Source organism: Homo sapiens, chromosome 6, assembly GCF_000001405.40.
Source record: "Homo sapiens chromosome 6, GRCh38.p14 Primary Assembly".
Taxonomy (NCBI): Eukaryota; Metazoa; Chordata; class Mammalia; order Primates; family Hominidae; genus Homo; species Homo sapiens.
In genome coordinates this window covers 155,441,114-155,461,899 of record NC_000006.12, presented here as the reverse complement: position 1 = coordinate 155,461,899, position 20,786 = coordinate 155,441,114, and the positions used below count along the sequence as shown (strand labels likewise).

At 38.8% G+C, this 20,786-nt stretch overlaps 1 protein-coding gene across 1 annotated transcript in view; it reads left to right on the top strand.

The window, feature by feature from the left end:
• The window catches only part of NOX3 (NADPH oxidase 3), a 60,472-nt gene continuing 45,746 nt past the window's right edge, over positions 6,061-20,786 (top strand). Inside the window, exons 1-5 of the mRNA NM_015718.3 lie at positions 6,061-6,147; positions 6,771-6,866; positions 6,979-7,089; positions 8,412-8,496; positions 18,482-18,627. Coding sequence (NP_056533.1) covers positions 6,100-6,147; positions 6,771-6,866; positions 6,979-7,089; positions 8,412-8,496; positions 18,482-18,627 — 486 coding nt within the window. The 5' untranslated portion in view covers positions 6,061-6,099. The remainder of the gene's footprint in view (positions 6,148-6,770; positions 6,867-6,978; positions 7,090-8,411; positions 8,497-18,481; positions 18,628-20,786) is intronic.

Here is a 20,786-nt window from a genome sequence, read left to right as displayed (position 1 = left end):
TACTTCATCGTGTGAGTGCTGGGAGCCTTCCCCTGCGGCATGCAGTGATGTGGCGCTGGGGGAGGGGCTGAGCACGCAGCCTGAAAGAGCAACAGGAAAAGATGGTTGGAAGTGCGCTCCTCATCACAAATATGTGTCTTCAATATTTAGTTGTTGTGGCAGGAAAACGCCAACAAATACATGAACTGTAAACCATCTGGCTTGAAATATGTTCAAATATGACTGTTCATCTTGAAAAATGAAATCTATGGAATTCTGGCATCCACTTTGACTTTTGAGAGATGAACAGCTTGGATATGCAAAGAAGGGATTTCTAGACTAGCCTTCTTAAACTTTAAATTTTCCTGAACTCAGAAGTTAAATGATTCACTGCCTAGAAAGGAAAACTTTGCTTTCACTTTTACGCTTTCATGAAAACCACTGACTCCTTGAAAATCCCTGGGACTGTATCTGTGTCTTGTGTGTCAAAAAGCAGAGAAGTAAATGTGGTTCTATATGGATTATTAAATGTTTATTAAGTTCTAATATGTGCTAGACGCAATATAAAACACTTAAAGAGCATGATAATCCTGGCTTTCACCAAATTTCAAAATTGAACATTTAAAACTTTCAGAACTGGGGGCTGAATTGTGCCACTTAATTTGGGTTAAAAAATGATGAATTAGTCAACTCTGTTCTCTTATGAACTGGGATCCTCAGGTAACCTAGCATCAACGCCCTACCAGAAACAGCTATCCCATCAACTTTGAGAAAGGTTTTAGGTGACTTGATAAATGGAGAGAAGACATGCATTGCAAACGTACGTAAGCGATGATGAAGTTGAGGGTAGGAGAATGGGAAGGGAACCAAACAGGCATTCTGGGCTTAGACCAGACCAAAAGCGACTACAAGAAGAGGAATGGAGGCAGGGATGTTTTTCCCCTGCTGCTTGATGTTTTAGGAGCATGAACAAGACTCCAAGAGAACTTAGAGATTGAAACTTACTTTCCTCCTTCTCTTGTTCACACTATTTTCTTTTATAAAAGCCACCTCAATCCACCTTATCTGAAGGATTCTCCCTGGAGGCTCTTACCTAGATCTCTTCATGTATCAGGAGCCCCCAGCTGTGCAATTTCTACCACTTGAGGATAGCCTCACCTTTAAATGATTCTTCAGCCATTGCACATGTACCTGTGGCCTCCCCAGCTGCGTTGTAAGCTTCCAAATAGAGAAGCCAGACCTCTAATACCCGCTGTGCCTAGGATTGTGTGATGCAGGCAGTGGACTCAGAGAGTATTTGTTTGAGACTGTGAGAGTTGGATAAAGGAAAGAATCATGCCACAGATATGGGGGAAAGCTTCAGTGGTTAATGTAAACTAAGTTTGTGACGCAAGCCACTTTTAAATGATATTAAGAGAATACAGTGTTTTCTGAAATAAAAGCCTAATATACTTAATTCAGCAAAGGTAAAATACTAATTTAAATTAATTAAATTTTATTTAAAAATCAGATATATGTTAATGTATGGATTTTTTTCTTTTGTTCTTCTTTTCCTTTAAAAATGAAATTTAACCAACATATAATTTATCTAATATAATTACATAATTATCACAATAAACACTCCTCAAAATAACCATGTAAGGATCTGGGATTATATGTGTTTGCATTTTTTCTTTTGTTGCCATTAATGTTCACCTTAGTACTTAAATGTTTATAAATGCTTTAGGAAAAGGCAAAAACATATTTCATGCTTAGGAGAGAATAATTTTGCAATGCTATTTTTATACGTTATGAATTCTGCTACATCCACAGGGAAACTAGATCACAGGAGGCAGCAACAAAATATACTAGGTGATCAATCTTGCTCTTGAAGATCAAAGTATTTATTTGTTAGGTCAACTGATCAACTGAGGAACTAAAAATAACTAAAATATAATAGAGCAAAACCAGTCAAGGAAAGTAGCATCGTTAGTGTAGAGTTTGCTTTCACATACACAAGCAATTAACCTGCTTTTTGTAAATGTATTTGTTCTGTTTCCCTCCTACTTTTTCCATTATAGTAGGTTTGTTACTGGTGAGATTTACAAGGGAAAAAGCCCACATCATCTTTTGTGGTGAGCTGGAAGAGTCAACGAATATACCCATTTAATTAGAAAGCCAGTAGCCACCTCAGAAACAAGGCAAATTTCACTTCATTTGTTCTGAGAAAATTCTGAGAAATGAAGTGAGCACTACCTATTAGTGATGAAAACAAATAGGTGAAAATAGATCAAATCTGAACATTTATATTGTTTCTGTAGATTTTTGTACAATTCCCTTTCTCTTTAAACACAACCCCATTAACTTGGGAATCATTTCTTAGAAAGTGATTGAGAGTCTTGATTTCAACTGTGATCTGTACAGATTCCTTCCATGAAGTAAAAACTGAGATTGACCTCTGGGCATGATATGCCTCCCAGAATTTTCACCAGGTAAATTAACAAATAATGAGAGCAACCTAATACCTTGTTTATAAAAACTGAGTGCTCGTGTAAAGGAGCCCGCAGGTGGAACTGAGTTGGACTTTTGTGTGTGACAGAAGACACGGTATCATGAGTCTTAGGAAGTCTGATCCCAATATTGCAAAACAATCATTGGTGTCATCAGGTTACTCTTAAAAGTATTAATAAAAATAGAAAAGTTGAAAAAAATTATATTCATAAATTATACAAAACTGTTGAGCTCTGAATGAATTTGAATATAATTTGAAGTCCACATATGATTATTCAATATGAATGAACATCATTGCAAATTTTATAAAAATAAAATCTATGAAGAAAAATGCCCAAGTTAAATCATGAGCTATACTTCCATAATACAATTGTTAACCATCTTTGTATACTGTAAATGAATAATAGCTACACTTTAACATAACATAATGTTCTTTACATATTCAAAATGAGGAATAAAGAAATCACATTTAGAAATAAGGATGGAGCATGTAAAGATTAATATTTAAAACTAAACTTTGTTTTATTTTTACTGTAATACTAGAAATATTCTAAGCAATGAACAAAAAAGTGTGACCATAGTTTTTTTTTTTTTTGAGACGGAGTCTCACTCTGTCGCCCAGGCTGGATTGCAGTAGCGTGATCTCGGCTCACTGCAACCTCTACCTCCCAGGTTCAAGTGATTCTCCTGCCTCAGCCTCCCGAGTAGCTGGGATTACAGGCATGTGCCACCAAGCCCGGCTAATTTTTCGTGTGTGTATTTTTAGTAGAGACGGGGTTTCACCATGTTAGCCAGGATGGTCTCAATCTCCTGACCTCGTGATCTGCCCGCCTCGACCTCCCAAAGTGCTGGGATTACAGGTGTGAGCCACAGCGCCCGGCCAACCCTACATTATTATTCAGCAATATAAGTCTCTCCTTTGTAACACTGTGTAAAGAACACAGAAGGCAAGAACATTTCAACTCTTCCTCACACTCATTGAATCTAAAATAGAAGAGATAGTATAAAATTCTAGATGTATTCTCTCTGAGTTAATTTTTATAACCCAACTGAATAAGACCTCTAAGATATGTAAATCCTAAACACTTCAGAAATAACAAATCATTTTATCATGGAAGATTATTGGCTTAAAGAAATGAATATAAAGACTTTACATCTTTTATATTGCTCACGGTTAAAGAAGCTACTAAAGATATCTTACTAACTGCACTCTAATCTCAGGTCAATGCTGCCAAAAATGCCTATGCTTTCATATATTTCTACAGTGAAAAAATCCCTAAAAAACGATGTCTTTCCAAGAAGTCAATTTACTATATTTTTTATGGGCCAGTCCAAGACTTCTCCAAAAGAAGCATCGTCTTGTTTACGTGTGAGTGTGTTTATGAGTGTGTGTATGTATTAGGCAGATGAGGAGTGAAGGGGGAATGGGAATGACCCTACAAGGTAGGTGTTATTAGTCCCATTAAACTAATGTGGAAAATGAGAATCAAAAGAGGTAACACATCAGAGCTGGGTGACAAGTAGAAAACTCACCTGTTTGTCAAAATACTTAACCAGGATGAATGAGGAGGCAGAAGGATCAAGGGGAGAACACGGGGCAGAGCCTTCTTTGTGGCTTTCACGGGAAGAAAGGGGCAAGTTTGTATAATCAGGGGAGGAGGTTTAAGATTGGATAGTTTGAATAGATTCTGCAGGCCCTCGGCTACAGGTGTGGTTGGTCTCTCGTCCAGTACCTGGCTCTGAGGTGATCAAAGGCAGGAGAAAGGTTGATTCTATGTATGAGAGTTTAATGAAAGAGAGGGTTAGGGGTTTGGACTGTGTTTGGTTTGCATATCAAAGACATGCTCCCAAACCAGTTGTTTTCTATCACTAGGAATGAGCTAACCCTAACTTGAGCAGTTTCTCCCCAAGACTGCAAGATCCTCAGATGTCAATGCACCCCAAAATGCAGAAAATAAAAAACATTATTAATACAATAGAATAACATCCATTTTTCTGTAATTCATTGGCATTATGTAGAAATAGTGTACTTAATCACACATAGCAACATGTATTTGTAATTAAATTCCCATAAGTTAAATGTCCTATTTACAGCACTGCAATTTATATCTGTATATTCAGTATGCTTTGGTGCACAGGTCCATATATTAATATTTCATAAAAGAGACAGTATAAGGTAATGGTTAGAAATGAAGATGTTACAGTCAAAGAGAACTGAATTCAAATCCCAACCACCTATCTACTGCAAGTTATTTCATTTAAGCTTGTTTCCACATTTCTGTAACGGGGCTCATAATATCGACCTGACAGAATCCATGTATGATTTAACTGACAATACTTGAAAAGTCCTTAACCTAATAGTACCTGGGTAAATAAAGATAAATGAATATTCACAATTCTTACTCTTACCAGGTTTTTAACAGGAGAGATTTGATTTTCCAAAATTGATTCTCCTCCTATTTTCATCTTGTCTAAAAAATTTAAAGGAAATATTTGGGCCAAAACCAGCCAGAAAATTGCTTCAGTTAGGACAATTTTGCCTAGCAGAGTAGAATTATGGTCACTATATTGAACAACTATGACTTACACAAAATCAGAGATAGACGAGGCTTCCCGTGCAGCCACTCCTGGGGTGACTGGAGTATGAAAGGATATTTGCACTTGCCTCATGGGTGCACCAAGTGTGATTAATGACACGTATTACATCAGTCCCACAAAAAAGTTCATTTTTTATAGTCACACTTTTAGATTTATATGAGAGTTTTCTATCTTATGTTTTTTAGAATCTCTTTCCACCATCTTCTGAAAGACGGTTTAATTCATGTTCATTTAGCCCACACTCTTTGTCTTCTATAGAGAGCTTTTTTGAAAGAGGGGAAAAGGAATTAAAGAAGTGGAAAAAATATGGCTGGTTGCGGTGGCTCACGCCTGTAATCCCAGCACTTTGGGAGGTCAAGGCAGGTGGATCACCTGAGGTCAGGAGTTCCAGACCAGCCTGGCCAACATGGCAAAACCCCATCACTACTAAAAATGCAAAAATTAGCCGGGCGTGATGGTGCACACCTGTAATCCCAACTACCCAGGAGGCTGAGGCAGAAGAATCCGTTAAACCCAGGGGGCAGAGGTTGCAGTGAGCCCAGATCGTACCACTTCACTCCAGCCTGGGTAAAACAGCAAGATTCTGTCTCAAAAAAAAAAAAAAAAAGTGGAAAAAATAACAAATAGAGAAAGAGCTTTGCTATATGCAGCCTTCAGCACTTAGGTTATTTCTCAGATTTACATAAAGACTTACTATCATCTTGACTGCAATCATGTAGAAAATGAACGGGTATAAAGTACATGAGGACAATTTAATAAAACCAGCTTTCTTTTCTTATAAAATCTCTGACGAAAGGAATCATTAGACAGAGACTTGCCTTGTATTTACCCAGGTCATGAGGCATGTCAGTGTGGTGATGTGCCTTTGGCAAGAAGTCCTTAATTAGAAATTCCTCGAGAGCTGCTCCCTGCAGGTGCTTCCTATGACACAAAGACAAAATAATTTACTAGGGAAGCCCTTACTAACGACCCAACATCCAGACACAGGTGAGGGAGAAGAAATTTCCTGACAGCCGAAGAGCAACAAGTATCATGATGGGGTGCTGGATTTTGAATGAGGGTCTCTCCACCATATTAGTAGTAAGTATCATTTTTGTTATTCAACTTTAAATATATAGATTGAATAGTCTTTGATTTTTAGGAAAACTTGTATAGGAACGCTAAATAGCTTGAAGTATTACTCTAGTTAAAAGACTAAAACTTGTTAGAAAACATTCAGTAGATGTATTTAATTTCCCCTTATAGAATCATGCAAAGTTGTTTTCCGATTGAGCTCATTTTTAATTATTTTTAAAGTCAAGTAGTTTGTTTTTGCATAATGTATGAGTGTTTCTCTAAATCAAATGAAGTCTTTGAATTAGACTATGAAATTGGAACTTTTCTAGAGAACTCTCGGAGTTGTTTTTAAAGATTTCTTCCTTCTTGACATCATTGTCAAGCAACGTTGATTAAGAAGGTTTTGTAGTTTCATTAAATCACTTAAAGTTGACTCATATGTGTTTAAAATCTTTTTAATAAAGGTAATAATGTATTACCATCATAATCCTATTAAAAACTAATCTATGAGAAATAAATATGTGGAGTAATTCTGATTAATATTGAGAAGCTCTTCATTCCACTTTAAAAGAAGAACCCCAAGTGATTTTGAATAGAGAAAAAGCTTGAAGGTAGTAATCATTGGTTCTCTTTCCTTTCTACTCTAGCTCTCATGGCTGGGAATAAATTTTTATCTGTTTATTGACACGTTCTACTGGTATGAAGAGGAGGAGTCTTTCCATTACACACGAGTTATTTTGGGTGTAAGTACAGTTTATGATTAAACATTATTTTTTCAGAAAACAAAATGCATTTTATTTTCCCTGGATCCTTGTTTTCCCTGAATCTCTTTTTTATGTCTTTACATGTGGACAGTCAACACTGGCTTGGGCACGAGCATCCGCACTGTGCCTGAATTTTAACTGCATGCTAATTCTAATACCTGTCAGTCGAAACCTTATTTCATTCATAAGAGGAACAAGTATTGTAAGTACTAAAATATCTGAAATAATCTCAACTGTTACGACTTCCTCATATAAGTGCCATTGAAAAAAAATGTACTTTATTATGAAATTCTCAGTAATTCTGTTTAAACTTGGGTTTCTTTGTTAGAGATAACAGAAAGGCTAAGACAGAAAAACGGTAATCAGTACATCTATCTGATTTGGCTTTGGCTGTTGCCATTGATTTCCTACATGACACTCAACTCATTGCTAAACAGTTTCCTGATATATTTGCCCCATGAAGATGGAAGCATTATAATAGCTGGAACCATCATTGTTTCTGACTGAAAGAAGACAGATAAGCTTTTGAGACAAACGCCACCAGGAAACATCTCTCTGGGTTCTCACCCACAAAAGCATAATCACAGTACATAGATTTTATTATGTAGATTTTAACCTCTACCAAACATAATGGGATATTTCTCAATTATATTGATTTCACTGTGTTGGGAACTTACCTGTGCTTCCTGTCAAACAAAATAGCATGCAGAGAATGAGACCTTCAAAAACTTTTACCAGGTAAAATACTGTATTATGCAGGCATCCCTCATTTTATTGCACTTCCCCTTATTGTTCTTCTCAGATACTATGGTTTTTACAAATTGAAGACTTCTGGCAACCCTGTGTGGAGCAAGTATACTAGCGCCATTTTTTCCAATACCATGTGCTCACTTTGTGTCTCTGTGTCTTTTTTAGCAATAAAGTGTTTTTTAATTAAAGCATGTACTTTTTTTAGACATAATGCTATTGCACACTTAATAGACTACAGGATGGTATAAATATAACTTTTATATGCACTGGGAAATCAAAACTTTTGTGTGACTTGCTTTATTGCAATATTTGCTTTATTGCAGTGGTCTGAAATCAAACCCACAATATCTCCGAGGTATGCCTGTATAATCATCATCATGATTTTATGAATATTTATATATAGATGCATATTTGCCTTTGTATATGTAGGAATAATTTTCAGACTACCTAAAACACATGAATGAGGATGATGGCTATTACCTTAAATTTTTAAACAAAGAAGCTGAGTGAGGCATGTATTTTGGCAGGCTTATTCAAGAGTTTTGAATTATAAACAGAGAACTAATAAGTCAATCATTTTTGAGTTGAGAGTTCAGCAAAGCAACTAATAACCTTTTGATTTGCCTGTTTGACTAATGGCCATTAACTTTTGTGTCACATAGCCCCACTTTAAGCAGTTTAGAGGCAGAGCCTGATTCCTACTCTCTTAACTTTCATGAGATTGTTTTCACTGCAATTTTTCCATAAATCAGGCATATTTTTTTGTTACTCTAGTGCTGCAGAGGACCGTGGAGGAGGCAATTAGACAAAAACCTCAGATTTCACAAACTGGTCGCCTATGGGATAGCTGTTAATGCAAGTAAGTACTTATTAATTGCTCAATGGATTTTACAATATCTGATGCCTAACTTCATAGTTTTGTTTTAACTCTGCCTTCCCCAAGTCTCACCCTCAGGTAAAAGAAAACTTTGCCCTTTATCTGACCCTGTAAACCTTACACAAATGGGTTTTTACATTTTCAATTTATACTTACCTATACGTTTTCCCCTACCAAGACCTCAATTGGTCAAAGAAAAGTTGGTGAAACTTCATTTGCGAATAGTTAAGCTTGTTAATAATACAATAATAAATACTTACTTGAAAAAGGGACACTTTGTTATTCAATATAATTCACTTTGGAAATAAAATTGACCTCTGTTCAAAATCTCATTCACAGTCGTAGGAAAATGACTGTCAAATAGTATTGTGGGCAATAAAAAAGAAAAAAGAAAAGAAAGATCATGTGAGCCAAGTTCTGAATCATAGTGAGGTAATGGACATAAAAGGGTCTTGAAAAGACATGAAGCTTTATCGGCATATAAAGTGTTATTGCTATTATTATATTTCTAATTTAAGAGGAAGGCACTAGAAATTAGCACCCAAGGCCAAGGTTAAACTCTGATGAGGAAGAAAGGAGGAGGAGCAGTCATCAACCAGCTTGTGGTTTTGCTGGAAAACAAAGACATTGAAATAAAAGGCTATCTGAGCGATAAGGAGTTATGATTCAGGACTGTTTCTCTCAAACTAATTTAACTATAAAATGTTTTCCTCATTTGTTTTTATCCTCTCATGCATAAAAAAAAAAGCAGAGTAAAAGGAACACTCAAAACAAATGTGAATTTAATTAAGCAACAAGACATGACAGACGGTGCCCGAGTGCCAATTAACACAACTTTGGGGGTGCAGTGAGACATGAGGGGAAGATGCTCCCAGTGACTGTCTTCAACGCTGGATTAAACCAACCTGAGAACTGCTTTGTAAAAGGTCTTTGTGGTTTGTTAGGAAATAAGAGTAAAAAGACATCGTGTCCTAGAGAAAACCAGCTCAGAGATAAAGGGGAGGAAATAAGGCTGGTTCATCTTTGTATTCCAAGGCCCACAGTAGTGCTGAGTATGCGTAGGCACCAATAACCGTTCATGAATGAGCGAATGCATGAAGGAATAAAGACTCAGGGAAAGAAATTTTGGCTCAGGAATGGAAATCTTTTCCGCACCTTGAAAATTATCTAAAATTAGAATGAAGCTCCCCTAAGAATACTGAATTCCCCATCATGGGTGATGTCCAAACAGAGACCAGATCGCTCCTTGATAGGCTCATCACAGAAGCAATTCAAGGAATCTCCAGGCTTCCTTTAAAATCTTAAATAGCTTGATTTCTGCATAACACAGTAAAATGGCAAGAATATTATCACAATACAATAGCTTTAAGACAGACTTGAACTCTAAGAGAAAGTTTTAAAGATATTACAGAGAGAAGGGGGAAAAAAACAGCCAGCATCAAAAGACATCAGAAAAGAGGCCGGGCATGGTGGTTTACGCCTATAATCCCAGCACTTTGGGAGGCTGAGGCAGGTGAATTGCTTGAGCTCAGAAGTTCGAGACCAGCCTGGGCAACATAGTGAAAGCCCGTCTCTACCAAAAATCCAAAAAATATTAGCTGGGCGTGGTGGTGCATGCCTATAGTCCCAGCTACTTGGGAGGCTTTGGTGGGAGGATAGCTTGAGCCCAGGAGGCGAAGGTTGCAGGGAGCTAAAATTGTGCCACTGCACTCCAGCCTGGGCAGCACAGTGAGACCCCATCTCAAAAAGAAAAAAAAATACAACAGAAAAGAAAGCAAAGAATAAGAAAAATGTGTTATGAAATAGTTTTCTCCTTAAACTTTTGGGCATGTACATTTCTTTATATGTAATCGTGTATCAATAATACCAATGCATTAGAAACGTATAATGAATATCCCCCGTGTTAAAGATACCCTGAAAGCAGCTATAACTTTCTGAAACTAGTGTGGTCAGGGCTGTTTTAGGATGGAGTATAATTTAGTATAAGCAGCTGTTGACTAAAATCAGGTAACCAAATTATTTTATACCCCTGCTACTGATTGGTAGTGTGATATCTGAGAAGTTCCTCATGCTCTTTCTTCTGTGGAGTTAAAAGAATACTAATACAGGCCGGGCGTGGTGGCTCACGCCTGTAATCCCAGCACTTTGGGAGGCCGGGGCGGGTGGATTACCTGAGATCAGGAGTTGGAGACCAGCCTGACCAACATGGTGAAACCCTGTCTCTACTAAAAATGCAAAAATTAGCCAGGTATGGTGGTTCATGCCTGTAATCCCAACTACTTGGGAGGCTGAGGAAGGAGAATCATCTGAACCCGGGAGGTGGAGGTTGTAGTGAGCCGAGAATGCCCCATTGTACTCCAGCCTGGGCAATAAGAGCAAAACTCTGTCTCAAAAAAAAAAAAATTTTTCAATGAGATGTGCAGATTATTGTCAGGATCAGAGTTAGTTGGAAGTTTGCAGAATACAGGGTTATTCACTTGCTGCTATTGCAAATAAAATCAAATCCAAAGCCCTTAGCCTGACCAAGGGCTCCAATGACCATGCATGTGCCCCCTGCCTGTGCCCCCTGCCACAGTCTTATCTCCTGCCATATCCCCCTGGCTTTTCCCCTTGGGCACACCCAGCTCCTAGGAGTTCCTAAGCATTCTGTGCCTTTGATCCAGGGATCCCCTTTGCCTGAAATGCTCTGTCCTCCTCATGGTGCTAAATGGGTGAGATATGGCCATGCCCAGGACTCATATCCTGGCCTACCTCCCCCAGCGCAGCCTCTGAGGGGTCTAAGGTCATACTTTCTACCACAGAGTGAAATTCATTCCCCAGAAGCTGATCACCTCCAGGGCTGAGCCTGTGCCTTACGCCTCTTGGCTGCCCTGGTCCCTGGCGCACAGGAGGTCCTCAAGAAATTTGGTGAAAACTGAGGATGAGTGAGAGCCAGCAGGCAAGAGAGGTTGAAGGAATCACTGGGAATGGTACAGGACACATATGCATGAGTTGTTCAGGGAGTCATGAGCAGTCTGGGGTGGACTGAACAGAGTGTGGGGAGGGAAAAGATTCAAACAATGTCAATTGTCCAAGATAATACATTCACATTCTGCTGCAACCAGAGAAAGCAGGGTGCTCTTTCTCCCTCTTTCCCTCACACATCCCTGGAGACAATCAAGTGTTCTCTCCGGCCCCCTTCCTCCTGAACCCCACTGCTTTGCCAGGCTCCCAGATATCTCCTGGGGCTCCCCCAGCAGGGTCAGAACTGCAACCCAGAGCAAAGTGCCCCTCATCCCACTCCTCCATGGCGACCAGCAGAGCTGCGGTGTTTCCACTCCCTGCAAATGCAGGAGGCTGGGGAGAAAGCTCTCTGCTTCTCCCAAACCCTGACAAAGCAATTATTACATTTCACATGAACGAAGAAATGCGTCTGGCAACTGCGCTTTTGGGAGGAAAAAAAATGCTAAGCCTTGGTTTCATGCAAACACCTCTGCTTTTCACATTTTCTTCTTCTGGTAGATTCACTTGGGAGCAGCTGAAAATGTCCCTGCGCTTATTTTATTAGCATCGCCCATTATGCTGCATTTCAAATAGCCTGCTGGCTTAATAGAGGTGTGTAACCTTGGAAAAAGTGCGACCACATCGAAGTTTGCATGCCAACCTCTAATTTCTCATCCGTTCCCCTGTAAGCTGAACTGCAGGCTTTAATTGGTCAAATCATTAAAGGATGTAATTAGAGACTGGTGGAAGAAGGCGAGGGAGGAGGAGGGAAGAGGCAAAACAATGGTATCTGTAATCAAGGACATCACGGAAAATGCAGTGACAGGAACTCTTCTTTTGGCTTCCTGCCTTCCTGCTTGTCTGCCTATGATAAGAGCTGCCGGAGCATTCTTCAACCACTAATAAATCATTTTCAGGGACCTATAACCCCATGGGTATAAAAATCATAGTTTCACAGCCTCTTCGTTCTTATTAATGCAGATCTTTCTGGAGTCCCTGGTCCACAGCAGACCTTGAAGACCCTTCCAATTGAAAAGTAGTACTTTGAGCTCCAGCTTCCATCAAGGGGTGTCTAAATAGTGACCCAGGCAGCTCTCCCTGGCAGAGTCGGCAGCTTGCTTCTGCCAGGTTCCAGGAGTGAACAATTAGCCGAGTGCAGCTCCTGATGAGTTGCTAAAATTAGTCTACAAACATCAATAAACATAACAAGGGCAGGGTGAGAGGAGAGAGCACAGAATAAGGGTGCCCAGAAAATAAAGATTTGGAGACCCAGGCTTGAGAATAGCCCTAAAGGCACAAACTCTTCAGTCCTGACCCCTCAAGGATTGCTCCTAACCAGTTCCCCCTGAGGCTCTGGGAGCTTCAGGGAAGCTGCATCCCCAGCCCTGCCTGACAGGATTTAATGTGATTTACAAATGCGTGGCACACACAGGGTGCCAGAGTCAACGATCCTTCTACAGAAATCAGACCACAGGTTTAAAAGTTTGCAGCCAAATTCTGGCTGCAGAAGCAGAGCCAGAATCTGTCCCTGGGTCCTTGTTTCTGAAGGCTGCTTAATTAGGAGGTGACTAACTCCAAAATGACTGTTATCACTGACAGGCAGGCAGAAAGACAGCAAGGACAGACCACACTTCCAAGATTCCCCCCAATTATGCTCACTTTGATCTCCTGAAAAATAAAATGAAAGAAGGAAGGTAAAAGAACTTTCTCAGGGCAACTGGCTCTAATAGTAGCCTTTATGATTTTTTTTTTTTTTTTTTTTGGTTCACTCTTCAATGGAAAGCTCCTTATTTGAACTCAGAAGTCCACATACCAATTAAATGCGCATGTGTAGTGTTTCCAAAATTGCTGCTCTCTTAAAAGTACTTTGGGGAGAACACAAAATTGTAGAAAGATCCAGCTATAGCACCTTTTAGCCTGGCACAATTGAGTGGGTTATGGAAATGTGTGTCTTGCGGTCCTCCAAGGGCAGAGAAGTGCGTACTGTAGAAAGTCCACAGAGGCCCAGGAAGAGCTCCCCCGCATAGCTAATGGCGTTGGATTTACTGCAAGACTGAAGAGCCCCAATTAAGCCAGAGTTGGCTTTGGAAACATGAAAACATGAGCTTTGTGTTTGCATTACTTCCATATTGGTCTACAAATCCCTTTTAGATGATAAATATGCTCCCAGTTAACTTCAGAGAAAGACACAGGAGCCACACAGCTGGAAGGGGGCTTAGATAACCTTGTTTAGTACAATCTACCCATTTCACAGATGGGAAAAAAAGGGCCTAAAAGAAGTTAGGTGACTGAGAAGTATCCTCTTCAGTATTCTTTCTGTTACATACTAATATCAAATCTAATAACATGAAATGATATTGATGACTAAGGGAGGGAGAAATCAAACCATATCACTGTTTTATCCCACCTCTGTAGCCCTTGTCCCTGTAACATAAACAGCATGGCTACTTATATTTTTAAAAGCCTAAAATGTAGAAGGGAAGGAATAGAAAATACAATGTCTAAAGAAGAACAAAAATAGTATCTCCCCTGGTGTCTATCAAGTCACAACAATTCTGAATTTAGCGGTTGGTATATCTTTAGCTCCAAGCCAAGATTGCTGTAAAATTAGGATCAGATCTAAGAGGAAAATAAAATGTTTAGACAAACAAAATCGGCATAAGCAGTTTTCTCTCTGAGAATGCCTGAGATAAATAAAATATTCCACTTTGTATGTTCTACCTTGTGAAAGAAAACAAAATGGAGGTAGCGAGAGCAAGGGAACATGTAAGACATGAACTTTAAAGTGTGTGACAAATACTGGAGAGAATAGTTTTTACAAATTCCCTCAGAAGCTGCCTCTTGAAAACCATCTGGGGCTTTCTCGTACTCCTTCATTAGTTTCTTCAGCTCTGTTATGGGAGACCTGGCAACAAGAATAAGTAAATAGTTTAATATCTTTGTTCATTCAATCAACATACTTAAATTTAGTTTAACAGTGTCAAATTCTCATGTGGAAATCAATCTAACAGAAAACAAATTGCAATCAACAACTCATTACAGAGAAGAAGAACGTTATAAAATATAAAGCCAGGCGTGGTGGCTCACGCCTGTAATCCCAGCACTTTGGGAGGCCAAGGAGGGCAGATTGCCTGAGCTCAGGAGTTTGAGACCAGCCTGGGCAGCATGATGAAACCCCATCTCTACTAAAAATTAGCTGGGCATGGTGGCGTGTGCCTGTAATCCCAGCTACTTAGAGGCTGAGGCAGAAGAATTGCTTGAACCCGAGAGGCAGAGTTTGCAGTTAGCTGAGATCGCGCCATTGCACTCTGGCCTGGGTGACAGAGGGAGACTCTGTCTCAAAAAAAAAAAAAAAGTTATAAAATATAAAAACTTATCCTGCAAAAAAGAAGTTATAAAATATAAAAAACGTATCCTGCCTTCTCTTTCTGACTATCATATATGGATTATGCAATGGTAAACACATCAGTTAACTTGGTCCGAAGCTCAGTTTCTATTTCTGTAAATTGGGAACAGCTTCACTCCCTGTCTGGAGTGCCCTAGTCTATGGAGAGAGAATTAAAGAAAGCTAGGAGGAGAGGAGTAAGGGTCAAGGGGCAGAATATAAAAGGAGCATTTACACCAACCTACAATGAGGACTCCAAATGTTGTGATCAGCCAGAAGCCTTAGAAACGGTTGGACTCTAGATTAAAGACACCAGGTAAACCATTCAGAGTTTTATCTAAGCCCATAGAAAAAACTAGTTTTCAATTAAAAATCAGGTATGATAATTGCTCATTAGTCAAACGAAGCAATACAGCTTGATGGTCAAAAGATGGGGCACCGAGTCACGCAAATCACTAAACCACTTTCATCACGAATCAACAGCAAATTCCTTAACTCTTTGAATACTGGTCTGTCGAATGAGAAGAAGGCTGATACCTGAGGAGGGTTAAATCAGGTAATATGCCTACAGCATTTACAACAGTGTCTGTTGTATAGTAAATATTCAATATGTTTGCTATGAGACGTACTACCTGCTTTTTAAAGACGTCGAGATAATTATCAGAAAACAGCAATTAGGAATACTGGACAATGTTTGTGTTCAATTTAGCAAATAGTTTCCATTTTGCATGTAGCATATTGGAAAAGACTCCTGCTAGATAAGCCTTTCCAGCTTTGTGGATGCTGAGGCTAAACAAGGCAGCACCTTCATAGACATGGCTGTATATTTTGACAAAGCACCTAGGGAGGAAACATAGTACTTCGTGGGTGCTAACCTCTCTGAAGCCATAAGGAAGCAGTAAACATCACGATGCGGAAACACTATCGAGTGCTTTGCCTTCTTGGGTGAGCCTCAACCTGAAGTATATTTGACTTGATTTTCAACTTAAAGGCTAAAGAAAAATGTGCAATATATATATATTATATATATATATATAGCATATATATATTATATATATATAGCATATATATATTATATATCTATAGCATATATATTATATATCTATAGCATATATATAATATATATATATAGCATATATATATATATATGTATATGTCAGCAGAGAAAACACTACTCCAACAAGGTTGTATTTATAGATTGATTTTCCTACCCTTTCATTACCCCTTCTACCTTTCTTTAATCTCATTGTCACTAAGCAAATAATTGTCAAATACAAACTGGTGCTGAGGTTTCAAGGATGAATAAAGTCCATCCTTGAGAAGTCAAAGTTCATCAGGGGTGCAGGGATAAATAGATACTGCAACAGTAATATCTGAGAAATGCTATGGTCATACTATCATTTGTGCTGGTGAAATTGAAGAATGTGTGATAGAAGTCAACTTTTGAAGTGAGTTGTAAGGCATGCGTAGAAAATTTTGCAAATCAGAAAAGGGAGTGATAGCAGGAACTCAGGTGACAAAGAAAAGAGGTTGCATAGAAGATAGCATTTCTAAATAAATCTGCTCCTAGGACCACAGGGACCAAAATGACACGAATATTCTCAGAAGTTCTTGCTGTTTCTTTTTCCCCATCACATCTTCTTCCACACCTCAACCCACAATGTACAACCACGGAGGATCCCGTAACTCACTCACAACCTGTATAGACTTTATGATAGTCATAGGCCCTGCTACTTCTCACTGTGGGTGCAGAAGAAAAGAAGATATCAACTGGGAAATTATCTATACCCCGGGCAATGAATTCTCATTTCACACACGAATCTGATCCCAATGGCAGTTATCAACTGGCCACCCAGCGGGAGTTTCATTTGCAGGAAAAGCATCGGTATGTTGTTGTCTAGCTGTGACTGCTGGCTTCCCAACAGATTTGGAAAGAGCAGCATCAGACACAGAATCCTCAGGCCAGACGATGCTGGGTTCTTAAGCTTGTTCTCTTCATTTAGAATTTAGACACCACCAAGTCCCAGAATTAGAAAGCTCCATTTACTTCTTAAGAATATACAGAAGGTACATTTAGTTCCATAAATAATGGCTTATTTCAATCCACCAGAAATAACACATGCAAATTTATGTGTGAATGTGTATGTGCAGGGGTATATATACATATAGAGTAGTCCCTCCTTGTCTGCGGGGTATACATTCCAAGACCCACAGCAGATGCCTGAAACAGGGGATAGTACTGACCCCGACTGCCATCCATCAGAACATGTTCCTTTTCATGTCTTCCACCCACAAATGTAATGCTTTTTTCATCATAAATAAGCACTTATCATGCATTGTGGCTGTAACTTTTGCAGTTTGAGGTGTGACAGCGAAACTAGCACAAATGTCTTTTTTCTTCTTCACAATTTCAGATAGAAGATTTGTTCTTACCGTAGATCTTAGCAACTTCCACATACAGTTTTTTTCCTTTCCTTATTAAGTAGAGAACTTTCACCTTTTCACTTAAAGGAAGCACCTGATGGCTTCCCTTTGGTGTAGCCGAATTGCCAGCATCACTACTTTTCCGCTTTGAGGCCATTTTTAAGTAAAATAAGGATGACTCGCACACAAACACTGGGATACCGTGACAGTTGATCTGATAACCAAGAGGGCTACTGGATATGCTGGACAAAGGGATTATTCACATCCCAGGTGGGACAGAGCGGGATGGCATGAGATTTCATCATGCTACTCAGAATGGCATGCAGTGTAAAACACAAATTGCTTATTCCTGGAATTTTCCATTCAATATTTTCTGATTGTGGTTGACCTCAGGTAACTGAAACTGGAGAAAGTGAAACTTTAGACTGGGGGGACTACTGTATACTAAAATGTGGAAAGGAATAAACAGAAAATAGAGTGGCTGAAAGAGAACAAAAACAATATCTCTCCTGGTATCTATCATTTACATTATATACATACATATCAGCATGTATAATGTACAGTATTCTAGAATAATGCTTTCCGATTTCTTAAGAAGTTATATATACTTGTTTCTTTTAGAATTATTTCATATATAATTATGCTGAGATATCATAACATTTATTCCACTTCCATGATAACTATACACTTTAAATTATGATGAACTGAGATTTACTTTATTTATTAATATAACTTAAATAAATGTGGAGATTTTTGTACAGTATCATATACATACATATCAGCATGTATAATGTACAGTACTCTAGAATAATGCTTTCCAATTTCTTAAGAAGTTATATATCATTATTTCTTTTAGAATTATTTCATATATAATTATGCTGAGATATCATAACATTTATTCCACTTCCATGATAACTATACACTTTATGATGAACTGAGATTTACTTTATTTATTAATATAACTTAAATAAATGTGGAGATTTTTGTACAGTATCTTTGGAAGTATTCAATCCACTCCACTCAAAGCACTGGGAAAGATGTGTAAATACATCACTTTTCCTTGGAGATTACAAAAACCAGAACAGAGAAACTTGAGCACAGAGACACTGTATTTTTTAGTAACTAGGGAGAAAGCAAGCCACAGGGTGCATGTTTGGTGTCATCTCCTTGTCCTAGCCATCCACATCGTGGCGCATTTCTTCAACCTGGAACGCTACCACTGGAGCCAGTCCGAGGAGGCCCAGGGACTTCTGGCCGCACTTTCCAAGCTGGGCAACACCCCTAACGAGAGCTACCTCAACCCTGTCCGGACCTTCCCCACAGTGAGTTCCTGCATGCTAACAAGCTTCTCCCCTGAAAAATCCGTCCTTTTCCAGTCCTCTAATCAGGAACGCTATATTGAAAAGCTTTTAATAAAAGAGCTGGAGAATGAATTTATATGTGAATTTGTTTTCAATTTCACATTTTCTAAAAAGTTATTTTTTTCTCATTAATGTTGCTGGGAAGTTATGAGCAAGGAGAAAAAGATATGTCACCTAATTAATTTATATATATATACACACACACACTAGAAACGCAGTAACCTGTTAAATTCCTAATATTTTAAAATTTAACATTTTAAAAGCAGTTCAGGATTAGATATTTTTTCACTGATGTTAGACTCATAAAGAAGGTGAAGTGCCAGCTAAACACAGAGATTATAAATTGGATGTCTTCATTTTCAATCTGCAGATTGTTTTCCGGATCTGTTCTCCGAATGCCTCATACATTGGCACATATGTGAATAGCTGCTTTGCCAAATCAGATACTGGGCAAAGCAGCTAATTTCATAATGAGACCTGCATGGCCAGTGACATCATTAATGCTAATTACCTGTGTGCACAGACTGTCAGCAGCTATGGGGAACAAAAAGAAAACCAAAAATGTAGCCACAGCAATCTATGTTCCGAGATGAAGACGGTCGTCTCCCTTAATTCACCCCTACCTCTTTCTTTGTGGTTGATCTCAGTTTTTTTCCACATACCACCATATTGGCATATGTGTGCAGCACGTTGACCAGACTAAAAATATCTTTATTGCCCAAGAAAAGCCGTAAGGCAATACACTTCAGCAATGAAAATCCCTCCATTCTTATCCAGGCCATCTCTTTAAGTGACCATTTCCCCATGCAGCCTTATTTAAAGAACAAAAACTCAAAATCTGGTTTTGGGACACTTGTTCCATGTCATGTCCCCTAATTAGCCTAAGATAATTTTCAATATCAGGCCATTGATCAGGTTTAGTTGAGCTACCTTTTCTTTTATTTTTTATTTTTATTTATTTATTTTTTTTGAGACAGAGTCTCACTCTGTTGCCAGAGCTGGAGTGCAGTGGTGCGATCACGGCTCACTGCAAGCTCCGCCTCCCGGATTCACGCTATTCTCCTGCCTCAGCCTCCTGAGTAGCTGGGACTATAGGCACCCGCCACCACGCCCAGCTAATTTTTGTTATTTTTAGTAGAGACGGGGTTTCACTGTGTTAGCCAGGATGGTCTTGATCGCCTGACCTCGTGATCCGCCCACCTCGGCCTCCCAAAGTGCTGGGATTACAGGCGTGAGCCACCGCGCTCGGCTTGAGCTACCTTTTCTTAGCTGACAGCTATTGGAAGCAAAAATTTCACACTTCCGAATCAGAACTACAGCTGCCCTTATGAGTGGGGATGCCTTTGTGTCCGTCCATTGAATCACAGCATTTGTCTAGGCACCTACTGAGGTTGCTGTTTTTCCCCACTAAGACGCTGGAAAATCCATTGCTACACACACTCAAGAATAAATCTCAACATTTTGCATAGTCTATATAATAAATAGTATTTATTAAAAATACTTTTCAAGCAATGTGATTATATATCTTACTAGAAAAATAATAAAGCTACTACCAATGCAGTAATTTCAAAATTTTAGAAGCAATATACTATGTAAGTACTAATTAAGCTCAGGAAACCCTCTAATTTAGGGTATTTGGAGAGAGATGAGTATCAATAACACAGAGTGTACATTATAGAGCATTTTTAGAGATGCAGTGGGATTGTTTTGGAGGATACATTGCAACTGTAACCAGTCTATAAATGTGTTGCAAGAAAGAGACATGGCGATTTGCCTTAATAGGCAAGGAAGAATGATGTGAAATTAGCATATCATATGATGTAAATGGATTTCTAAAATGCCTGAAGGTACTTGAGAAGAAAATATTTTAAATGTTTGAGACATACCCCTTTCAATTTTATTTCCACTCTTTGCTCTATGAAGAAAAAATAATGAAGAAGTCCCTGTCCGAATTACCTCCAGATCTCAAAGCCGCCCAAATTAATGAGATTTTACTGACAAAAGATATAGTGAGTTTATTGAGCTCATGGCCGTCTCAACGATAGTAACACAATGTATGAATACTAATGACTTGGCAAGAACATGGGAAACTCACAATGAAAATAAACTGCTGTGTGATG